This window comes from Homo sapiens, chromosome 13 (assembly GCF_000001405.40).
Source record: "Homo sapiens chromosome 13, GRCh38.p14 Primary Assembly".
Classification (NCBI taxonomy): domain Eukaryota; kingdom Metazoa; phylum Chordata; class Mammalia; order Primates; family Hominidae; genus Homo; species Homo sapiens.
The window spans coordinates 26,677,566-26,699,036 of NC_000013.11; the positions used below are offsets into that span (position 1 = coordinate 26,677,566).

At 46.5% G+C, this 21,471-nt stretch overlaps 1 protein-coding gene and 1 long non-coding RNA gene across 12 annotated transcripts in view, besides 1 other annotated feature; one reads left to right on the plus strand and one right to left on the minus strand.

The window, feature by feature from the left end:
• The window catches only part of WASF3 (WASP family member 3), a 149,810-nt gene extending 138,427 nt beyond the window's left edge, over nucleotides 1-11,383 (plus strand). For 6 of the 10 annotated variants that reach the window (XM_024449315.2, XM_047430060.1, NM_006646.6 and 3 more), the window contains 3 exons: nucleotides 3,489-3,755; nucleotides 5,042-5,409; nucleotides 8,123-11,383. In XM_024449315.2, coding sequence (XP_024305083.1) covers nucleotides 3,489-3,755; nucleotides 5,042-5,409; nucleotides 8,123-8,280 — 793 coding nt within the window. In that variant the 3' untranslated portion in view covers nucleotides 8,281-11,383. Of the gene's footprint in view, nucleotides 1-2,469; nucleotides 2,637-3,488; nucleotides 3,756-5,041; nucleotides 5,410-8,122 lie in introns of all 10 variants that reach the window. The other 4 variants (XM_047430064.1, XM_047430063.1, XM_047430062.1 and 1 more) reach the window with 2 other exon arrangements.
• On the minus strand, nucleotides 919-21,253 carry LOC107984597 (uncharacterized). Of its 2 annotated transcripts, none has more exons than XR_001749798.2 (3): nucleotides 20,671-21,253; nucleotides 5,951-6,018; nucleotides 919-4,850 (listed from the first exon to the last, which is right to left on the minus strand). It is a non-coding gene; the product is annotated as an uncharacterized LOC107984597 (long non-coding RNA). The 2 variants fall into 2 exon arrangements; XR_007063731.1 differs by having other exon boundaries at nucleotides 3,672-4,850; nucleotides 5,951-6,013; nucleotides 20,671-21,232.
• Nucleotides 18,105-18,626: an enhancer, noted in NCBI's record as "H3K4me1 hESC enhancer chr13:27269807-27270328 (GRCh37/hg19 assembly coordinates)". NCBI's record gives its function as "activates a minimal SCP1, AML or CMV promoter by ChIP-STARR-seq in primed H9 embryonic stem cells {active_cell/tissue: H9 hESC(primed)}" and the evidence as "EXISTENCE:reporter gene assay evidence [ECO:0000049][PMID:30033119]".
• Nucleotides 21,254-21,471: the final 218 nt, after the last annotated feature.

Sequence of the window (21,471 nt, forward strand, 5' to 3'; positions counted from 1 at the left end):
TAGCACAAACTCTTAACGTATTACGTGCCTTCAATGTTCCCACCCCAGAAGGTCTATAAGTCATTGGGAGGATGTGAGGCAAGTTCTGGTAATTTTTCTGTACAAACTTCTATTTGTTAAATATTAGAGAATTATTGGAGCTTTAACTGAGTTTTAGCCTCATTTGAATTTTAGTGTGAGTTTATTTCTATAGAAAGTAGGAATTATAACACAGTTCTGCTCATAGTTCTTTGGGTGGGGAGGAATGTATGAACTTAATAGCTCCCATGATGTCAATCTGCTTTTTTGTTTTTTTTCTAAATAATTTAGCTATGATTGTTTACTCGTGCAAAACGTATACTTTGTTTTTATCCTATATAGACTTTTCAAAAATAGATGCAGATGGGAAAATGATGGATTTTTAAAAATCTCTCAGTTGAATGATACTCCTTCTAGCATCTGAGATTATTCCATGTTGGATATAAAATGGATGGTTATTCAGATATAGTCTGCCTTTGTATTTATGTTGCTTACATACATCTGCGTTTCTCTTAATTTTCAAAAAATAAGTCTGATTGTTTTATTTCTTCAGAATTCCTTTTGTTGTCTCCTACTATTTCCCATGGCTTCTTACTATTTGCATACATTATTTACTATCAGATAAATAGATTATAACTCATCATTGTATTGGATTATAACCCTTAATTTAGAAATTTTTATTTTTTTTTACTACAGTGTGTCACTTTTTTATTATAAAATAAGACATGCTTATTATATCTGGAAGTTACAGGAAAAAATTAAAATGAAATATGATCTATAGTTTCACCATGCAGAGAAACCGTTGTATGCATTTTAGTGTATTTCTCTTTAGTCTTTTTCTATACATGTGTTTCTTTTTTCTTTTACAAAATTGGAGTCATGCCATGTTTTCTTTCTTTTGACTTTTAGAAATTATATCCCATGTTTTAGGTATTATTTCGCAACATGATTTTTAATGATTGTATCCGCTCATCTGAGTGCATCCAAGATACTGAGGGAAATTTAAATACCAGGTTTCATGGTGTGTGTATATGCTATTATATAAGTAATATACCGTAACCCATCTTACATTTTTGCTCTCTCTCTAGATTGTTAGGAATGGCTTGTTCCTGAGAATAAATTTAAGATGAGCGCTGGGAAGTGCTTGCCTGCTGTATGACCAGCTCTCTGTCACTGCCACTCAGGGAGTCGCACACCTCCATGCCCAATTGTCCTTGTTTTTTCTCATCCAGTTCTGGGCCCTGGTGCAGATCTCTGGCTGCCCGCCTGTCTACCCAAAAAACCCTGGGGGATATATCGACCTCTCACACTGAGTCTCTGCTGCTGTGCCTACTTCCTCCCGTGTGGTGTCGCCTCTGGCCCTCCCGGCCCTCCTCCTCCCATGTCAGCGTTGTCTCCAGCCCTCCCAGCCCTCTTCCTCCTCCTCCCGTGTCGGTGTCATCTCCGGCCCTCCCGGCCCTCCTCCTCCCATCGTCCCCGGCCCTCCCAGTCCTCTTCCTCCCGTGTCAGTGTCGCCTCTGGCCCTCCCAGTCCTCTCTTCTGTAATAGGTGATCACTGACCATCATGAGGCCTCGGGATCTCCACTCACCTCCACCTTGGCCGTGCGTCTGCAGCTGGTTTCTGCCTCCCCACTGGGAGTGGGGCTCATCTCCAACAGCTGCCTGCTCCTCCCTCCTCCTCCTCCTGCCTGCTGGCACATCCCTTTTCTGTGGTCCTTCCCTCTTCAACTGACCAGTCCCCTCTTCCCCCAGCCCCCGTCCTCCTGATGGGCACCCTTCATCAGGGTTCTGCCCTGTAGAAATCTCTGGTTTCTACTTCAGATATTTATCGAGTCTTCCTTCACTTCTGCCTCCATCTGGTTAGCCCCTTTTCCTTGCTTCCTTTCTACCCTGTGTTGCAAGGCTCCTTGATAGGGATCGCCCTCCTAGTTATGCCACAGTATTTATAGTTTCCTACCCTCATCTCATCAGAAAGCTGTCCATGTTTGGCTGGAGAACTCTGTTTCCTTTAAAAGGTTGCACTGTAAGCCAGTGACTCGTAGTCATGCGCAGAGTCAAGCACACATCATCAGTGTCTCCAAGGGTTATAGGAATTTACATTTTTAAAATACTCTAAATCTAAATACAGGTCAGGTCCTTCCCCCATTAAATATATTTTTAAGTCATTTGCTAGCAGCTCACCTAGTTCAAAAGACATAATCAGAAGTGCACCATAATCCAGAATTCATACTGCAATTAGGGAAGAAAATAATGAGTAGTTATTAGTTGTTACACTTCAATTAAGGAAGGAAAAAGGAAAAGAAGCTGTCTCTTCTCATTTGGAAGGCTTTTCTGTGCCACATGGTGCCCCAGTTAAGAAAAGCTACCAACTGGAATCCCAAAGATGGAAATGCAGCGTGCATCTTCCCTGCTCCCTCAGCACCCCCAATGTGTGTTTGGTATTTCCTTCAGAGAGAGAAACACAAGCTGAACCCTAACAGAAACCAGCAAGTAAATGTGAGAAAAGTCAGAACAAGAAAAGAAGAGTGGGAGAGAAGGAAAATGGGCATTGAGTTTATGAGTGACGCAAAGAAACTGGAGCAGGCAGGGAGCGCCAAAGAGGACAGAGTGCCCAGCGGGTTTGTTGTTTTGCTTTCTTTGGGTTCCCAGACTCAGACTGCCCCTGCTTCTGCCGCCATGAGAGGATGTACAGCCCCTCCTGGCCACATGTCCTGTAACCTGAGCCAGGAGCGTGTGACTGTCTTACTAACGCCCACGGCACTGCCGGGCTGCCACACTTGGGTCCTTCCTCTCCTCCTGAGGGCTTAGCAGGAATCCCGTCCCTGCACCCCATGTCTCAGCTCTGCTCCACTAATCCAAGATCCCTTTCCTTTCGGAGTTTCACACCCAGTTTGTGTGCAAAGAAAACTATGGAAAGAAGGCCTTTCCATAGTGCACCGCATTGCTTTCTGCCCTTTTTGTTAAGTACATTTCTTCTGTTTAAGAAAAATATGATTCACTCTACTGCATTCTCGATTTCTTTTCCTGTTCTTACTGTTAATATTTATCCAGTTAACCTGCCATTTTATATTTTCTAATTATATGCTGTCAGTTTCATTGCCACTGAAATCTTCTGTCTTATATCCTGTTTCTAAATGGAATGGTTTCTTTCATAGCCTTCTTAGAGAAAACGTATGCTGAAATACTGTGAAAAGGAGGCTCTGCTGTTTCCTGCTTGCCGGTCTGTCTGACTTATTCACTTCAAAGCTGTGAATCTGAATCCATGTAACACTGGGGCTTGCTGCCGACTTATAATAATTATGTTGTTGCTTGGAATCTCTCACGGGGCTATACCTAGTTGATAGTAAAGCAAATTAATGTCTGATTTTTGTGTATTAGCAATGTTATTATTCAAATACATCCATGTGCCTGTTAGCCGACAATTTTTAAATTAATTTAAATTTCTCCCACCTCTTGTTTTCAAATGCCAGGTCACATGCATCGGACGTTACGGATTACTCTTACCCGGCTACTCCCAACCATTCTCTGCACCCCCAGCCTGTGACCCCTTCCTATGCAGCTGGTGACGTGCCACCACACGGGCCTGCAAGCCAGGCTGCGGAGCATGAGTACCGGCCCCCATCTGCCTCGGCGAGGCACATGGCCCTCAACAGACCTCAGCAGCCGCCCCCCCCGCCTCCCCCTCAGGCCCCAGAGGGGTCCCAGGCCTCTGCACCGATGGCTCCAGCAGACTACGGGTAACTCAGCATGCCTTGTACCCTAATCCCTCCTGGCCTTGCATTTGAATCTTGCTCTATGTGGTAGGAGAATTTTAACTCCGGTATTTTAGAGGCCAAGATAGAGTCAAGGATGACTGGATGTAGATACTAGCAACTCTAACATTCTGTGTGAAATAAAGCAGGTGCAGCATAAGCTCAGACTTACAGTTGAGTCTCAGGCCACACTGTGCATGCATGTGTGTTCCCTCACACACACTCTGGGTGTTTGAATGGCTCTTTAAGCCAAGGCATTGATAAAGGGTATTAAGTGCTGATTTTGTGAACCTGTCCCAAACCCTCAAGTTTCTGGACACATCCTGAGTGGACCACAGAAAATTGTTATCACAGACGAGAAGACCACACCATGCAGCTCCTGTGCCTCATTTCTCAGACTTGACCAAAATCTGCTTTCGTGACCTCTGACCACCCAGACATCATTCTGCCCCAGGCCCTCCTGTTCCCTGAGAAGTAGAATTCAGAGACTTCATGTTCAGGCGTTTATCAATTTAGGCACCCACCTCTCTTTTTTTTGGCTTTACTCTAGTCTTTAAAGACTTCATTCCTCAGAGTTGGTGCCCAGGAAAATTACCGTGTGTTGGTGTCCACTGCTAACACGTGTCTGCACACCCCTGTCTGAATGACAATCCTGCTCTCAGAAGTGCTCTCCCTGGCCATGCATGCCAAGTCAGGATCCCCAGAGTGGCTTGAGGCTGTGTCAGGCCAAGAGAGGGCCCATGGTCCAGTTAGTTTGGAAGACCCTCGGCTGAATAGAATTCAGCAGATTTCTTGGCTGTGTGACTTTTCGAAGCTTTTGATACACACCTGGGCACTGCAGGCATGGGGCATTTCCACGGAGGTGGGTTAGAGAATGTAGAAAGCTCCCAATCTGGTTGACCTTAGGACCCTTAAAAGACAAGTTTGTGAGCTACCGCCTTGAGATCCCAGTGTGAAGCCTTCACTGGCGCTGCCGTCCTGGCCTCTGCAGTCAGCTGCTTTATTCTGCCTTTCTTCAGGAAGTGCTGCACTTTTTGAGTGGTCCTCCTTTTGGCACATTTCAGTAGCAGATCTTGACTTCTGTCATAATGAATAATGTCAAACTGTGAAAATAACTGACCCAAGGTGTGCATGTTTGCATCCTGCCATGATTGAAGTTCAGGTGACAATACGTGTTGTGTCTGGGGATGGCTCCGTTAGGTGTCTAAGAGCTCCCAGGACGTGACCCTCTCTTGTTCCCTTGGTGACTATGTGCCTCATATCTCTCTCAGGATGCTCCCAGCGCAGATAATTGAGTATTACAACCCATCCGGACCACCTCCTCCGCCACCTCCTCCTGTGATTCCCTCAGCACAAACTGCCTTCGTCAGCCCTCTCCAGATGCCCATGCAGCCCCCGTTCCCTGCATCAGCCAGCTCCACGCACGCAGCTCCTCCTCACCCACCCTCCACCGGGCTCCTGGTCACAGCCCCGCCACCCCCGGGCCCACCACCTCCCCCGCCAGGCCCTCCTGGTCCCGGGTCTTCTCTTTCGTCCTCCCCAATGCATGGCCCCCCAGTAGCTGAGGCGAAGCGGCAAGAGCCTGCACAGCCACCAATCAGTGATGCTCGAAGCGACCTCCTCGCTGCTATTCGAATGGGTAAGTGGAGCCCCCAGACACACAGCCTGCCTTTCAGCAAGAGGTTTCTTCATGTCTCCAGCCAGCTACAGCCTCCTTGTCTTCAAATGACTACTCACTACGTTTTTTAAAATAGAGTTAAAGGGGTCTTACTTGATTTTTTTGTTTTGTTTTGAATAGTAGTTGTGTTTTTGTCCAGTGTAAGGTAATCAAATTGTGATAAAGATTGGGAAACAGCCGGGCGCGGTGGGCTCATGCCTGTAATCCCAGCACTTTGGGAGGCCAAGGCAGTTGGATTGCTTGAGCCCAGGAGTTTGAGAGCAGCCTGGGCAACATGGCAAAACTCTATCCCTACAAAAAATGCAAAAAAAAATTAGCTGAGCATGTTGGCCTGAGCCTGTAGTCCCAGCTACTCAGGAGGCTGAGGTGGGAGGATTGCTTGAGTGTGGGAGGTCAAGGCTGCAGTGAGCCGTGGTCACGCCCCTGCACTCCAGCCTAGGCGACAGAGCGAGACCCGTCTCAAAAAAAAAAAAAGAATTGAAATTAGGAAGTTTTTACTTACCTTGAAACCAGAAACCCAATAACTGAAGTGATCGATTAATTAATTGGATCTCTTCTCTGCATTCTGCTCTAAGGGGAAAAGTATAAATGAAAGAAAGTGAGCTCATATTAATGATTTCTTTAAAAAAAAAAAAGAGTTTGTGCTGGACTTGTCATATTTGCTTGATGTCCTAAGCCAGTGGTTTTTCAGAATCTATAATATTCAACAGCATAACCCTTTTGTCAGATGAAAGTCCCGCGTTGACCCCCTGACCACAAAACACATGGAAACAGAGCATCTCAGGTGGAATTGGGTGGGGAGTCTGCCCTCGCCTGTCTTGGGCTGCCCAGAGAGCCCCTGGGAACCTCCAGCCCACACCATGGATTCTTAACCAGGTCCCAACCCAGGTTGGTCGAGGGTCCCTGACATGTTATGGGAATATCCAAGAGCTTCTCGCCTGTGGGGAGCTGCACAGACTTGGTCACAGTTTAGTCATCTCATCTGGAAGTGACCAAGCAAGGAGCCTGGCTGCAGCCCGCCAGCTCAGCATCAGGGATGTCCTTCAGAGGAGCTGTGATGCTGCTGCCTCTGCGTTTTTCTTGTGTGCCCATGAACCAGGCCCACAGTGTGGCCCACGCACCCTTCTAAAGACCCCAGGGTCCTCTGTGTACCTGGACATCATTGACACACTTTTATTTTGTCAAGATAAAAAAGTCCTAGAGGTATATTAGCTCATGAATATCAAGTTCGGGGTCATTGTAGGACGGTGTTGGATTTGCCTTTTTTTTTTTTAACACCTTATAAGCCCTGTCTACCAAGAGTAGATACATAATCTGTATCTAATCTCGAGGAAACATCTGATACACCCAAATCGACAGACATTCTGCAAAATAGCTTCCTATATTCTTCAAAAACGAGAAGGTTGTAAAACACAAAGACTGTGAAGAACTATCCAGATTAAAGGACATTAACAAAATTGACAACCAATGTCACGGATAATTTCCACTGGATTCTGAACCAGGGGATAATCTTTTCCATTTGCAATTAGATTGGGTCTTTTTGCAAAATTTGAATAATATTTGTAGGATAGATAGTAGTAGTGTATCCAAACTAATTTTGTGATTTTGATATTTTGGGTGGGCGAGGCGGGGGCGGTAACACATGAACTATTTTAGGGGTAAAGGGACATTATATGCCATTCACTCTCAAATGGTCCAGAGAAAAGTGTCTGTGTCTGTCTGTGTAAAGATGATAGGGGAAGATTGGGAAATAAATGTGGTCAGATGTTAGCAGTTGGGGAATCCAAGTATATGGGAATGTTTTTCTGCTGGTCTCATAGCTGTTCTGTAAATCTGAAATTATTTCAAAACAGTTAAAAAATGAATGGATACCATCTTGGGCAACATTGCAAGACTCTATCTCTACAAAAAAGAAAATACAAAATTTAACCGTGCATGGTGGCGTGCGCCGGTGGTTCCAGCTACTCAGGAGGCTGAGGTGGGAGGATTGCTTGAGCCCAGGAGGTCGAGGCTGCAGTGAGCCATGATCGTAACACTGCACTCCAGCCTGGGTCACAGAGTGAGACCCAATCTCAAAAAAAAAAAAAAAAATGGATAAACATTAAATCATCAAATATCTTACTTTGTTACTAAGCTAGAAAGTAGATGATTGTATTTTATGTTTGTTTCCACAGTAATTGTTGAAATAAAGGTTTCTCAGTTACTTCTTGGGTTAGCTGAGAGTGAGTAGCATAGAACACTGTTTCCAAGGCTCTGGATGCTGTTGCTGCCTAGTAGATGTCCTGTGGTGATAGAAATGCTCCAGCCTGCAGCGTCCCAGAGAGTAGCCACTAGCCACATGTCAGTTCATGCTTTTAAGGCTATATGTGCCTAGTGGCTGCTGTCTGGGATGGTGCAGCTCCACAGTTTTCTCTAATGGTGTTCAGGTACACTGAAATTAGGAATTTTTAATATTTTAACACATTACTTTGTTACAAAAAAACTTCTCACTTTGAATGCATGTTTTTTCTCATGAAACTTTTAATATTCCCTGAGCTTTTCTCCCCTCAAATTTCTAAAACTTTCTGTCCTTAGTGTCAGTAGAAAAAAAAGTCCAATAGACATATTTGTTCGTTTATCTTTAATTTGGAGCCAGCAAAAGGATGTGATTCTGAACCACGTGTTGTGTCTGCAGGAATTCAACTGAAAAAGGTGCAGGAGCAGCGGGAGCAGGAGGCCAAGCGGGAGCCAGTGGGGAATGACGTGGCCACGATCCTGTCCCGGCGCATTGCCGTGGAGTACAGCGACTCTGACGACGACTCAGAGTTCGACGAGAACGACTGGTCCGACTGAGCAAAGGCCGGCGGAGAGGCCGCGTGTGGGAGCGTGTTGAAGATTTTAAGTGGTCTCTACACCCAAATAGTGGTATTCTAATCCCGTAGCATAGCACCTTTTGTATAAACAATGTGATATTGCTTCTGCACATCCAAAAATTCTGGGTCTTTTCAGTATTTACTGTGTAATACTTAAGTGCCACTAAACATAGCAAATTGTGCTGCACATGAGGAAATAGGCTGTCACTATCACATTGTCCTGAAAACAGCATCTGCTTTCCTCTTGGCCATGAGAGTATTTAGTGCAGTTTGGGTTTACTCTTACTGATCAATATAACTCTGCAGACTTGCTGTGTGTTTGTGAAGCTGCCTGGTGTTAGGTCTCTGCAAGACTAATGACTATGTCAGAGTGATGTCTTCCAACCAGTAAGTGATATTGTTTCACCGCTTTGGTTTTTCCTTTTGTTTTTTTAAAGGATGTGTTTCTGAATAAGTTGGTTTTAGAGGGAAAGGTTCAACAAACAGGGAGAATCCAGTGTTTCTGCTTTCAGTTTCTTGGCTTGGTAGCCTCTGAGTGAATCTGATGCTCTGCTGAATAATTTCATTACCTCTGCACATGCCTGTCAAATATGAAATTGGAAGGGCCCTTTTCAGGCTGGGTTCCCTGTGGGCATTTGCTTAGTAAATGCCTGTTGATGGTTTTTGCAAGAGAATTCAGCAGCTCAACAGTAATGAAAGTGAAGAACAGAGTCCATTTTCCTTCCTGGGGCCATTGGGGATGACACTCAAGATACTTGCCAGTCTCTCCAGTGTGGGCACCAGCCGGCCAGAACAGATGCGAGCAGTCCATGACTCTGGGAGCTACACCGCTGAGCTGGGCAGAGCTGCGGCACAGGGCCTGGGCTGCAAAGGAGCCCTGCTCCTTTAGTTTCCTGACACCTGTGTCCTGAGTGAGCCGCAGGAGTTCTTAGCTCCTCAGCGAGCAACAGAGAGCACTTTAGATGGCACCTTTCACCACTTGGTCAGAATTTTAAAAGCTTAGGTTTAGGTGAAAGTAGATATTGACAGCTATTCACCTTTCACGGTGCTGGGGCCAGATTAGGGATCACTCCCGTGAGGAGGGCCTTCACCCTGTTCTAGAAGCACATGGTTGTCCTCCTGTTGTTGGCACATTAAATGATAAAAAGCACCTCATGAGATTCCCTTGATCAGCCCTGCAGCTGTAGTACAGTGCTGTGCCCTCACCTCCACCCTTCCTGTTGTTCCCACGTGGGCAATACCAGGGACCCATGGGGAAACTCAAGAATGACAGCTTCTATATTTTGTAATTCTGGATGAAAGATAACTGTGTTGAACAAACAGGTGCTCCAGGCTTTGATTATAGATACGACTTCAAAAATATGCTAAGACGCTTGACTTATTAAGGACTTTAACCTACTCAACAGTATTTCATATCCATTGTGGTTAGTTACTCAGTTATGTTGAGAAGAATCTGGAGCTAAAAGCAGAGATGTTTGAGGTGACGGTAGGAATGTGAGCAGGATGGTGATGGGGGTTTTTGTTAAAATGCATCTGAGCAAGTCAGCCAGCCCCGAAGTCCCCTCAGTGTGTGTGTCTCGAGTGGCTACCTGTTGGGCTTGTGGGCAGTGATTGTACAGAGCCTGTCCATTGGGTGCAGTCATGTAGATCTGAAGCCCTGAAAAGCCTCATGTCTGCATCCCCTTTCCAAGGCTGCTTCCCTGGTGTGTCTGTTCTCTCCTCTGTCCCAGGTGCTGGGAGCGTCCTCTTCAGCGTCTTTTCCTAGAGCTGGTCACCACTAGGCTGTCACTATAAATTCCTTGAATATAAGTAACAGTTATTAATGAACTTCTAAATTTCTAATTTCTCTCTCTCTCTCTTTTTTTTTTTTTTGTTGTTGTTAAAAAGGGCCTACTACATTGGCGCTATTCTTAGGACTTCTGCAACTTTTAAAGTCTTACTTGTCTTTCTTGTTGCTTTTGTATTAGGAGTTCCCCGTGTGGGTCTAGAACTCCCCTTTGGTAATGCTTCTTTGTTTTTTTATGGCCCTTCTGTTCTCAGGATGGAGAGAACACAGAAGCTACTATCCATGTCAGGATTTATTCTATTTATATCTTATTACAATAAAATTAGTGGCACTTTATTCATAAATATTCATGAGCCTGTTAATTGTTAGTTGTCTTCCTGTAGCTGAATCAACAAGTTATTTTCAACTCAATTTTATGACTTGCGAAAAAGCTTTTGCCCTGTTGTGTACCATAACATTTAAAAGAATGGAAAATGACTGAAATCCAATTTAGATTATTTTTAGAGTATTTTTCCAGCAAATTCAATTTATTCTGAAATTTAAATCCAGATCTTTTCTAATATGGTATTACAATGAAAAGAATAAAGAGAAGATTTGAATTTTCAGTTTCATTTTCAAAAACTATTTACCAAAACAAATGGAGAAGAAACATCCAAAAGCACATTTCATTTCTCCAAACTTTGTGTTTTAAATTATAGTTATAAATTGTAAGGTAATTTTAAATTGTCCCTCGTATTATTTCTCCACGTCTGTTTTAGTTTAATGTCTCCTAAGCTTTTCTCTCATAGCGTAGACCTAGGGAAGGGATGGGAAGATTGCCCAGTCCCCGATGGCTGCGCACACAGGAGGCGGCGGAGCACAAGGCAAGTGAGTTTGCACTGTCAGCCCCAGACCGTAAGCTTGGCTACACTGATGTTTTTCTTTACTAAGGATACTATTCAAAAATTAACATTTTCATCTCAGTAAGTTTTTAGAACATCAAAATGTTTTCTGAGCTCCAAGTGGCTAGGTTGTAAAAGTTTTATAATAATTTGCAATTAAAATACATGATACATATTAATCCATTAAAGACTAGTGGGAATGTATCAGCCAGAGTAGCAAGTAATTTTTGTTTTATAAATCATAGTATCTGTCATCTTGCAGTATTACCAATGCTGTTGTAAATTGAATTTAAAGTGGTATTAAAAAAAACTGTTAAACAATTTTTATCTGTTTGTATATCTTACTATAGATTATGTACAAGTAACATCTAAATAAAATTACACTTTTAACCCTAAGAGGTTTTGCTTATTAATAACAGTGTTGTATGTTTGGCTTTTTTGGAAGAGAACTTGGTGTTAAGTGGTTTTTTGTTTTTGCTTTTGTTTAGCATTTTCCTTATTAGACAACAGAAGACACTACTTTGGTTTCCATTTAAATTTCTACATAATTTTTGTGTCACCAAGAGTTCAGATTGAATTCCTGAATGACTCGGGGCAGCACTAGTCTGGTTAGAAAGAAAAGGCCATGCTGGGAGTAGGGCAGCCACCTGTTGAGAGGATAGAGCCTGGGGCAAGAGGGTCTTAACCACATTTACTCTCAACGGTAAAAGTGAATAACACGCTGTAGTATGTATGTATTGCTTATGAGATGTTTTCATTTAATCCTTACAATAATCCTTAACATTCTGTTTCATATGTGGGAAAACTAGAGTGAAGCTAAGTTACTCTCTCAGGGACCTTGGTCGATAGAAAACTCAGTTCTGGGGCAGAATCACATGTTGGGGTAATGAGAGTCGAGATTGGGTGGGTAAGTGTGGCCACATACTTCAGAGACAGCCAGACTGGAGGTCAGGCTTCCTGTAGAAGCTGCTTTCAAGTTCCTGATGCACACGGTGTGTACCTCTACCATGGCACGCATCATGTGGTATGATGGCTGGTTCTGTGTGTAGCCTTTCACTGGACTGTGTGCTCCTTGTAGATGTAAGTCATCTTTGCATCCTGAGAGCCTTGGCACAGCACCCAGTCTCCTAGACAATGAGCAGCTGCTTTTTGCATGATTAGATGAGTGGATGGATTCCTGAGTGGTTTTCTTTAGCAAAAAGTAAAGTGTGAGCAACTTTTTTAAACATGGCAAATTCTACCAAATACCTTGACCTTGCATTTCCTCCTTAGTACTTGTCATCTGATGTGTGGCTCCCTCTTTATGGTGTGTATTCCCCACCAGACTGAGCTCTGGGAGGCAGGAAGGGGCCTGTTCTGCTGTATCCTGTGTGTTGAGCACAGTGCCTGGCACTTTCTAGGTTTCAAATAGTTATTTAGGGATTGTTGTTCATAGGGAAAAAGGGGAGGCTTCTTCAACAACTGTTTGTGAGCCTAATAAGATTTTTAAATACATGGATATGTGTAAAACACTTGGAAGAGTGCCTGGTGCTAAGCAGACACCCAGTGGTTGTGACCCACCTCTTTCGTCTACAAGCCACTGGCTGAAAAAGAGTGGCAGGCTGGGCCCTGCCCTCATGGGGCTGCTCATCTAATGAGAAAAAAGGACATTAAATATTGTCGAATAAGTAATTTAGATCATTTGACATGTGCTGAAGTTTGGGGCAGAATGAGAAGTGCCCAATCTCAGTGGGCCAAGAGAAGCTGAGATTTGAGAATGAACAGAAGTTAGCTCAGGGAAGGGAAAGGAGTTTTTCAGTAGAGAGAACAGCCTGTGCATTCCCTAAGATGGGAAAGACAATATGGGGTGAGAATGGAACTAAAGTATTGTGGAATGGAAGCACTGAGAGGAAGAAGTGTCATGAGATGGGATACAAAGATGCTGGAAACCTCCCATGCCCAGCATTCGGGATTTAGGGAGCTTTCTGAACCAACAAACCCCACCATGATGACATGTCTGCCATAGCTGCACACCTATCAAAATATTCATATTTACAGCCTATTGGTTTTTTAATTGATCTTGATAGCCTCATGCCTTAGATGGCACTAATCTTAGAAAGGATCTTAGGTCCGTTTTATTTATATGTATTTAGAAGGCATCTTAGTGCTCTGCTAGTCTAGCTCCTACCTTTAAAGATGGGGAAAAGGCCATTGCTTCCATTGATGGGGGCTCAAAGCTTGGTCTCTTGACTCTTGAATTTTCAAGAGTTCAAGGTCCTCCTGTTCCACCTTTCAGAGTTAGGTAAATATCCCTCACCCTCTGTTTCATTATGAAAAAAATTAAAATCTACAATAAAGTTGTTCAGTAAACACTCATATACCCCTCTCCATCTGTTCATCAATTCTTATCTTTTATGCATTTCAAAGTAATGTGTATTCTTCACCCCGAATTCTTCAGCATACATATCATTAGAGTTTAATATTTATAATGTAAAATACACTTAGAGTAGGTTCACTGACTCTATTCTGTCATCTGTTATATAATTTGCTCTTAAGCCCATCTAGTAAATTTTTTATTTCAGACATTGGATTTTTTCACTCTAGAATGTCCTAATGGTTCTTTTTTGTTGTTCATTTATTATAAGCTTATTTTCCTTTACATCTTTGAGCATAGTTATACTGGCTCTTTAAAAATCTTTGCTAATTCCAACATCTGGATTTTTTTTTTTTCAGGATCAGTCGCTATTGAGTGTTTTCACTCTTGAGTGCATGCCTAATAGTTTTGGATTGTATTGTAAACTCGGTGAATGATACATTTTAGAGACTCTCGATTCTGTTATGTTCCTCCAAAAAGTACTGATTTTTTTTTTTTTTAAAGAAGACAGTTAACATGGCTAGAATTAAACTCTCAATTCCTCCCTGCCCCCATCACCCAGCACACACACAATAGACAATAGCAGAAATTTCTTAAGTTCTTTTAACCTTAGCCAGGCTGTTTGGAGTTTATTTGGCTCACGCTTGGTTACAGAATCAAACAGAGACTCAGGCAGTTTTACACAGAATTTTTGGATCCCCCTCTGGCTCTTGTTTGTAGGAACACTTCACTTTCAATCTTCTTTGATCGCTCTGAACTCAGCCCTCTCATTTTTTTAAGCCAATAAGATGGTGGGTTAAGTCAGCCAGCCAAGACTGCAGATTTTCTGTTCAGGCTTAGCTGCCTGCTTGGCAGAACAGGGCCTGCCCTCACCAAAATGCCTTTAATAATCAGAAATGCAAAGCCTTTTTCTTCTGCCAAGCGTCAGCTCCCCTCTCATGTGTTTCTGGTTTTGATTTCTGTGCAATGCCTTCGATGGCTGTGAGGTGTATTTTGTCCAGTTCATAATTGTTATCTGTAGTGATTTGGTCTGAAATGAGCTAGTTCTCCAGTCCCAGAAGCCTCATTCTATAAATACTTGATGCAACATTTATTTTTAAAAATGTTAATGTAAATTTAAAAATGCAAACTGATGTTTAATACCCAATTACAACAAATGATCAGTGTCTCCATTTTTCTGCCAAGCAAACTTGTGTTTGCAAGGACCCCACAATAAAACTGGTGACATAGTTCTTTAACAAAGTGGTATCCAAGTATTGCATGATGTGATAGGAAACATGTGTCTACGTCTTATCTGTGAATCAGAATGTTCTTTAAGGCCGGATGCTGTGGCATGCCTGTAATCCCAGCACGTTGGGAGGCTGAGGTGGGTGGATCACTTGAGGTCAGGAGTTCGAAACCAGCCTGGCCAACATGGTGAAACCCCGTCTCTACTAAAAATACAAAAATTAGCCATGCATGGTGGTGTGCGCCTGTAATCCCAGCTACTCAGGAGGCTGAGGCAGGAGAATTGCTTGAACCTGGAAGGCGGAGGTTGCAGTGAGCACGGATTGCACCATTGCGCTCCAGCCTGGGCGACAGAGAGAGACTATGTCTCAAAAAAAAAAAAACAAAAAACAAAAAAAACCCAAACCCAGAATGTTCTTTAAACCGTGCAAGCAGAACAGTATGTGAGTCACATGGGCATTAAGACTACTTTAACAAATCGTCAGCCTTACCCCCAGTCTCCATTTTTATGTTCATCAAATAACTTTAATATTTTCACTGAGTTTTATAAATTTAGATTCAGGAATAAATCTATACACATAAAATATTTACTTTTAATTATTGGGGTTCATTTGAATCAAGGGTTCCACTACCTAAAACTTTGTAACCACTGCCTAGCATCACCAGTATGTAAGGGTTCACGTTGTTATGGGACTGTGTACTGTACTCAGATTTTGTGTTCTGTGAAGACAGTCCCAATACAGAGCTGTGTCACAAGCTTTTGAGGACATGGATATTTAATTTGGAGGTGTGGGTAACTTGTAGAGGTGTCCCAACAGGGAACTAGATGAGAAGGAGATTTGCTTCCCGAGTATACTTTCTTCCCGGGCCTGGCACCTGGACATTGATTTGCCAAAACACGTGAGCACTGTCCTGTGGATATCTGTACGTGCGATCTTTTAATTGCCCCACTGCATTTGCCCTGTGTACTTGTGATGTGAGTAATTAGCTTTAAATACAGCACCATGATTAGTTAGAGGTGGTGAATTGGCCGATGATTTACCATGAAGAAAAATTAAGAAAATATGCCATTTAAGAGTAATTTAAAAACCTACCAAGTGGTACTTAACGTGAAGTGACATTTAAAAGCATTTCATATTCGAGGATGTGCGTCAGCTGCTGTGGCCTAAAACCAGTTGAAACAGCAGTTTGACTCTGCAGCTGGCACGTCCTGAACCTGTGAACATGACTTAGCATCCGCATTCAGAAGATGTTTCTTTGCATGTGTGTAGGTGACGGTGGTTTGAAGTGTATCTTCTGAGAGCCACACTTGAAGATCTTGATAATTAAGTTAGGGGAGCAGCTTTCAGCTCCTTGACATGTCTTTTAATATTTCAGAGACCTAGCCAGGCATGGTGGTGGCTCATGCCTGTAACTCCAGCAATTTGGGAGGCCAAGATGGGAGGATCACTTGAGCTCAGGAGTTTGAGACCAGCCTAGGCAACATAGCAAGACCCCATTGCTCCAAAAAGAAAAAGAAATCAGCTGGGCATGGCAGCTCACTCCTGTTGTTCCGGCTACTCAGGAGGCTGAGATGGGAGGATTGCTTGAGCCCAGGGAGTCAAGGCTGCAGTGAACTATGATCGCACCACTGCACTCCAGCCTGGGTGACAGAGTGAGACTGTGTCTCACAAAAAAACAACAAAAATCACACACACACACACACACACACACACACACCAAAAATCAAAGACCTGGGCCTTCATTTGGTTTTCCAATTGGGGAATTTCAGCGACATGCCTTGAGGTCGGGGCAGGAAGCAGCATGGTGATCAGCACTGGATGACTCACCATGAAGGGCCCCAGGTTGCCTCCTCCCAGGGCACCTGGCCACATTTCCATTTGCACAGGTCGCAGTGTTGCTGTGGCTCCAGCAGCCCTGTGTCCCTCCTGTCCCTGGTCTCTGGCTCGCCTTGTCACTGTAAGCCTCCCTCCTCCCTCCACCAGCACGACTTTCCTTGCCAGGCTCCTTCCTCACAGAGGCCGTGGGTCCCTGTGGCCCCCACATCGCCTTGGTTTCTGCTGTCCTTCCCTCTTCCCCCGACAGGTGACCTGTCCTCTCCTGTCTTCCCCTGATGCTTCCAATGCCAACCCGGTCAGATCCTGCCACACTGGGTTTTGGGGGTGCAGAAGCCCACATAAGTTAATAAAGGAGCTGGCCCTCTCTCAGCAGAGATTAGAAGTTGTGTCTGAGCCGAGATGCCCCTGGGCACCAGGAAGGAGTCCCCTTCAGTGCCTTCTCAGCTGAGCCTGGGTTCCTCCCAGGCTCATTCCCACAAGGAACCTTGTGGGATGAGCTCAGAGCCAGGGATTCAGATCTGGCATCAGAAGGGCTTGATTTTCGTGTCATCTGCCCCTGTAGGCGAGGTCAGGCACAGAGGGGTCCCCAGTGAGGGGTTCACACACTGAGTCATGCTAAGCTGGAGGACGGGGGACTCTGGGCTCCACTCACCCGCTCCCCTGGTATGCGTGTTCAAATGCAGATTTCCAGGCCCCATCCCAAACCTACTGCATCAAAACCTTGAGCACAGGACCCAGAATCCACAGTTTACCCGGTAGCCTTCTGGAGTGGTTCTTACTAGGCACGCCAGAGTTAGGCCCTGCCCTTCGTGCTGACCTGGAATGATTGACAGGAGCCCGAAGATGCCACCTGCGATGTTCTGGGCTATTGGACGACTAATGGTGCCTCATGGACTCCAGGGGGACCCAGCGCCCTCTCCATCAGGGGCTGTCCCTTCCTCCGGTGTCTGGTTGGCAGCAGCTGAAACCCTGCCCACAAAGGTGAGCTGGGTTATGACCCAGTCGTTTTCATCTTTGGACCCCAGATGGAAAGATGCAGAGCTGCCATCCTTAACTCCCATGTTCCTCTCGGAGCAGCTCTCCCTGTTCCACAGCCCCTGCTGTCTGCACGCCCCTGAGCTTCCCGCTTGGTCAGATCAACGGTGCTGGCCGCACAAAGCACGTGGGAGCCCACGGTCCTGGCACAGGTCATTCAGGAGCTCCTTCCTATTCAGGGCCTAGGGAGGAGAGGTGGGGGCCTGAGCTTTGCCTGTGGGCTGTCCCCACTGATGTTACTCACTGGATGGCCTTCCCGGGCTGGAGTAGGGAGAGGGTCATAGTCTCTGCTTGGGTCCTTGTGGCAGACACAGGGGCTGGCACACTGCATGCAGGCGGAGAAAGTCAGCATGGCCTCTTCTAGCTTCCCCCCACTGGCTGCCGTGACATCAGCCTGGCACTCTTAGGTGTCTGACATCAGCCTGGCACTCTTACGTGTCCTTGCATGGCCCGTGTCCTGCCCCCTGACTTCTGCCCTAGGCTGTTTGCGTGATGCATCTCCTGCGCTGTCGGGCCAGCCCTCCCTCCTCCTCCAGCAGGCAGTGGAGACCTAAGAGGCGTTGCGCCACAGCAGCAGGACCCCACCCCGTGGCCCCAGCTGGGACAGGCAGCATCAGAGGATGCATTTAGGACAGCAAAGGCCTGCACTGATTTTCTTTGGGTCACACCTTTTACAAAGATGTTTTGCTGGGGGCTGTCTGTGGCTTTCACACTTAGGTGGAGAAGGAAGCTTTCTTCCCCTTCTCTTCCTGACCGGCTTCCCTTGGGGGTGCGCAGGGGCCACCCGTGGGGCCTGTCCCAGATCCACTTTCCCACATATTACTTGACTTTAAATGGGAAACAGAGTAAACATTCTTGGGTGGCCACCATACCTAGGAATCCTGGTTATCTGCCTTCTGCTAAGACCTGGGCCAGAGACTGATTTACACCTGGTGGGCCCCCGACCTCGTTCTGACAAAGGCCACGTCTGTGTTGAACCTGGTGGCCCAGGAGACTGGAGTCAGTCGGTGCCTGCCCCTCCCTGTCGCCCAGCTGGACTTGTTCCCAGCCGAGCACGGAAAGGGAGCAGCACTGTCTGTGCTAAGGCCCTTGGAAGGAAGACATTGTGGAAGGCGATTAGGAAGAGGTCTCCCTGATTCAGGCCTGGTGAGGGAGGAGGTGGGGCCGCCTGAGTTCAGCAGCTCAGCGGGTGTTAACTAGGAAGCAGTGCGAGGTGCAGCCAGGGCAGGAAAGGAGGACAGTCCCGCCCTCTGGGGCCTGGGCCACTGACAGCGGGGTCGGGCGGTGGGGAGCAGATGAGTGGAGCCTGGAGTCCCCAGTCCTCCAGCTTAGCGTGACTCAGTGTGTGAACTTCTCACTGGGGACCCCTCTGTGCCTGACCCCGCCTAGAGGGGCAGATGACACGAAAATCAACCACTGCATCCCCAGGACCGCCACACGTCCACCGAAGGAACAGCTGTAGCTGCCGGAGGGAAGCTGTGGGCCCTACAGGGTAAGCAGGTCTGAGCCTCAGACTGGTGCATCTCTGCTGGAGCGTGGTGACATCCTCCATCGCATTTCCCGCTTAGATGAAGAAGCAGAAGCTTTGGGCTGAGCAATCTTTTTTTTTTTTTTTGAGACAGGGTCTCATTTGTTGCTCAGGCTGGAGTGCAGTGGTACGATCATAGCTCACTGCAGTCTCGAGCTCCAGCGATCCTCCTGCCTCAAATCTCCGGAGTAGCTGGGACTACAGGTGCACACCACCACACCTGGCTATTTTTTGTAGAGATGGGGTCTTGCTATGTTGTATTCCATGCCCAGCCCTTCTGATGCCAGACCTGAATCCCTGGCTCTGAGCTCCTCCCCAAGGGCCCTTTGCAGGAGGAAGCTGGTCAGCTCGCAGCCATTCAGCTGCTCTGCCTGGAAGCCATGGCCCTGATTGCCACTTGGAGGGTGATGGCTGGAGGCCCAAAAGGACACCCAAAAGCAGATGAGCTTGATAGGAGGAACAAGGAACAATGTGGCCTCTTTCAATGTGAGGCTGCAGGGCTAGCCTCAGAGTGTGGCCTGCCCCCAGATTTGGCCTAGAAGCCAATGGTTAAACTCCCAGAGCTGTAGGTTGCTCCCAGTCCTGACTCCCACCCTCCCCAGCTCCACCCTGGGTCTAGGTTGAAGTAAATGTCTGGGATGGAGTAGGGGACGTCTGCCTGGCTCACTTCATTTTTAAGTTTACCCGTGATGGAATCATCCTGACATCAGAGCTGCGCTGTTGAACTGTCCTGCCTTTTTCCCTGCAAATGTTGAAGGAGGGTGTTTAGGGAGGCAGGAAGCAGGGCTGGCCCCATGGGTGAGGGGTGAGGCGTGAGGGTTCGGGGTTCCTCAAGAGCAGCCCTGCGCTGCACAGGCCTCCTCCAGGAGCATGCACGGGGCACTGGCTCTACACCAGGAGCATGCACGGGGTACTGGCTCTACACCAGGAGCGTGCACGGGGCACTGGTTCTACACCGGGCAGAGGAGTAGGGACAGAGGAGTGGCTGTTTTGGAGAGCGGCTGCTGGAAGGGAGCTGGGGAGTGTCGGGGAACAGGCAGCTGTGTGACCAGGCTAGCTTCGGAGTGGCCTGGGAGCTGAGGATATGGAGGTCAGCCTGCACACCATGTGTACAGAGAGCGGAGTGGGGTTGCCAATGTGGGTGTGGGCTGGGAAATCTTGCTTGACACCCCCCAAACCCTGGGATGCCACACCCCAGCCCCAAGGGCTCCCTGAGCAGGAAGGAGGCAGGCGAGGCTCAGGGTTGTGGCTCAGAGCCCTCCTCAGGAGTGAGCTGCATGAAGGTGGAGTGGGGTGGCGGTGTCCTCTGTGACCACTCTGGAGGAGATGCGGGGGACGCAGCGTCACCGTGTCCCTGGCCTCTACCTGTGTTCCTGCTTCTCCCAGGGCTGGAGTGCAGGCCTAGGTATTTGAACATTTAAAACTAAAACCATTTGGAAATCTGTCTTTGAAAGTGTTGGGGCTCAGAAAATTGTACCCCAAAATGAAAGTCTTGGAAGCAGCCTCAGAAGCAAAAGGTTTTCCCTGACCTCCTCCCGCCCTCCTGTCTCTTAGTCCCATTTTCCCCCAAGGCTACCCATAGAAACCAGAATCCCTCTTCCCCAAGATGGGTCATAGAAACCACACCCTCTTCTCTCCAAAGCCAGCCATAAAACCTGTTACTCTTTTTCTTTCTCAGACTCTCTGTGTAAAAACTGGTCATAAAGAAATGATCTGACCTACCTTGTTTGACTGCTGGTCATAAGACCCCCTCATTCCAGAAGGAAGGAATGTGTGCTCAGAGAGGCCAGGCAGAATCTAGCCGGACAGGCCTTGCTGGGTGTCCTCACTCGGTCTCAGCGTTAGATCACACCCTTCTTGTCTGATCATATTCTACCCGGCCGTCCATACTTTGTTGGACAGAAGCATAAAAGTGGACAAGTTCCCCTGTACGTTCGTTCTTTATGCTGAAGGCTCCTGTGTACATACGTTACATAAACGTGTATGCCTTTTCTCCAATTAATCTGCCTTTTGCCAGCTGATTTTTCAGCCTTGGCCCCCTCGAAGGAGTGGCGTCAGCCCCCGGGCTCCTGAAGAGGACAGGGCGCTTCTGAGCTCTGAGCCTGCGGTTCCTGGCGGGTGGATTTTACACAAATGTCAGAGGCCCCTGCGCTGTAAAAAGCAGGTGAAGTGTAAAGGACGATTCCTGCTTTCCCTTTAAAAGTCTATCAAGGGCGTCCACGTTTGGTTTAATGCCGAGACGGGGATGCAGGGAGGCGCTGGCCTCCGCCTCCTGGAAGCTAGTTAATATCGCTGCAGAGCCAGTAGCTCTTCCTTTCCGAGGGCGCCCTTCTGCGGGTCTGTGGGGAAACACCGCCCTCTGGTGGCCAGATGATGAAGTGCGTTCTCTGAAGACCAGGCTCACAAGTTCGGCTCCCTATTCACTTGCTCAATCCTTCATTCTTTCATTAAACAAATATGTGTTTTTCATGCACTGCTGTTGAGAGTGAACTGGTACGAGTTCTTTGGAGGGCAATTTAGCAA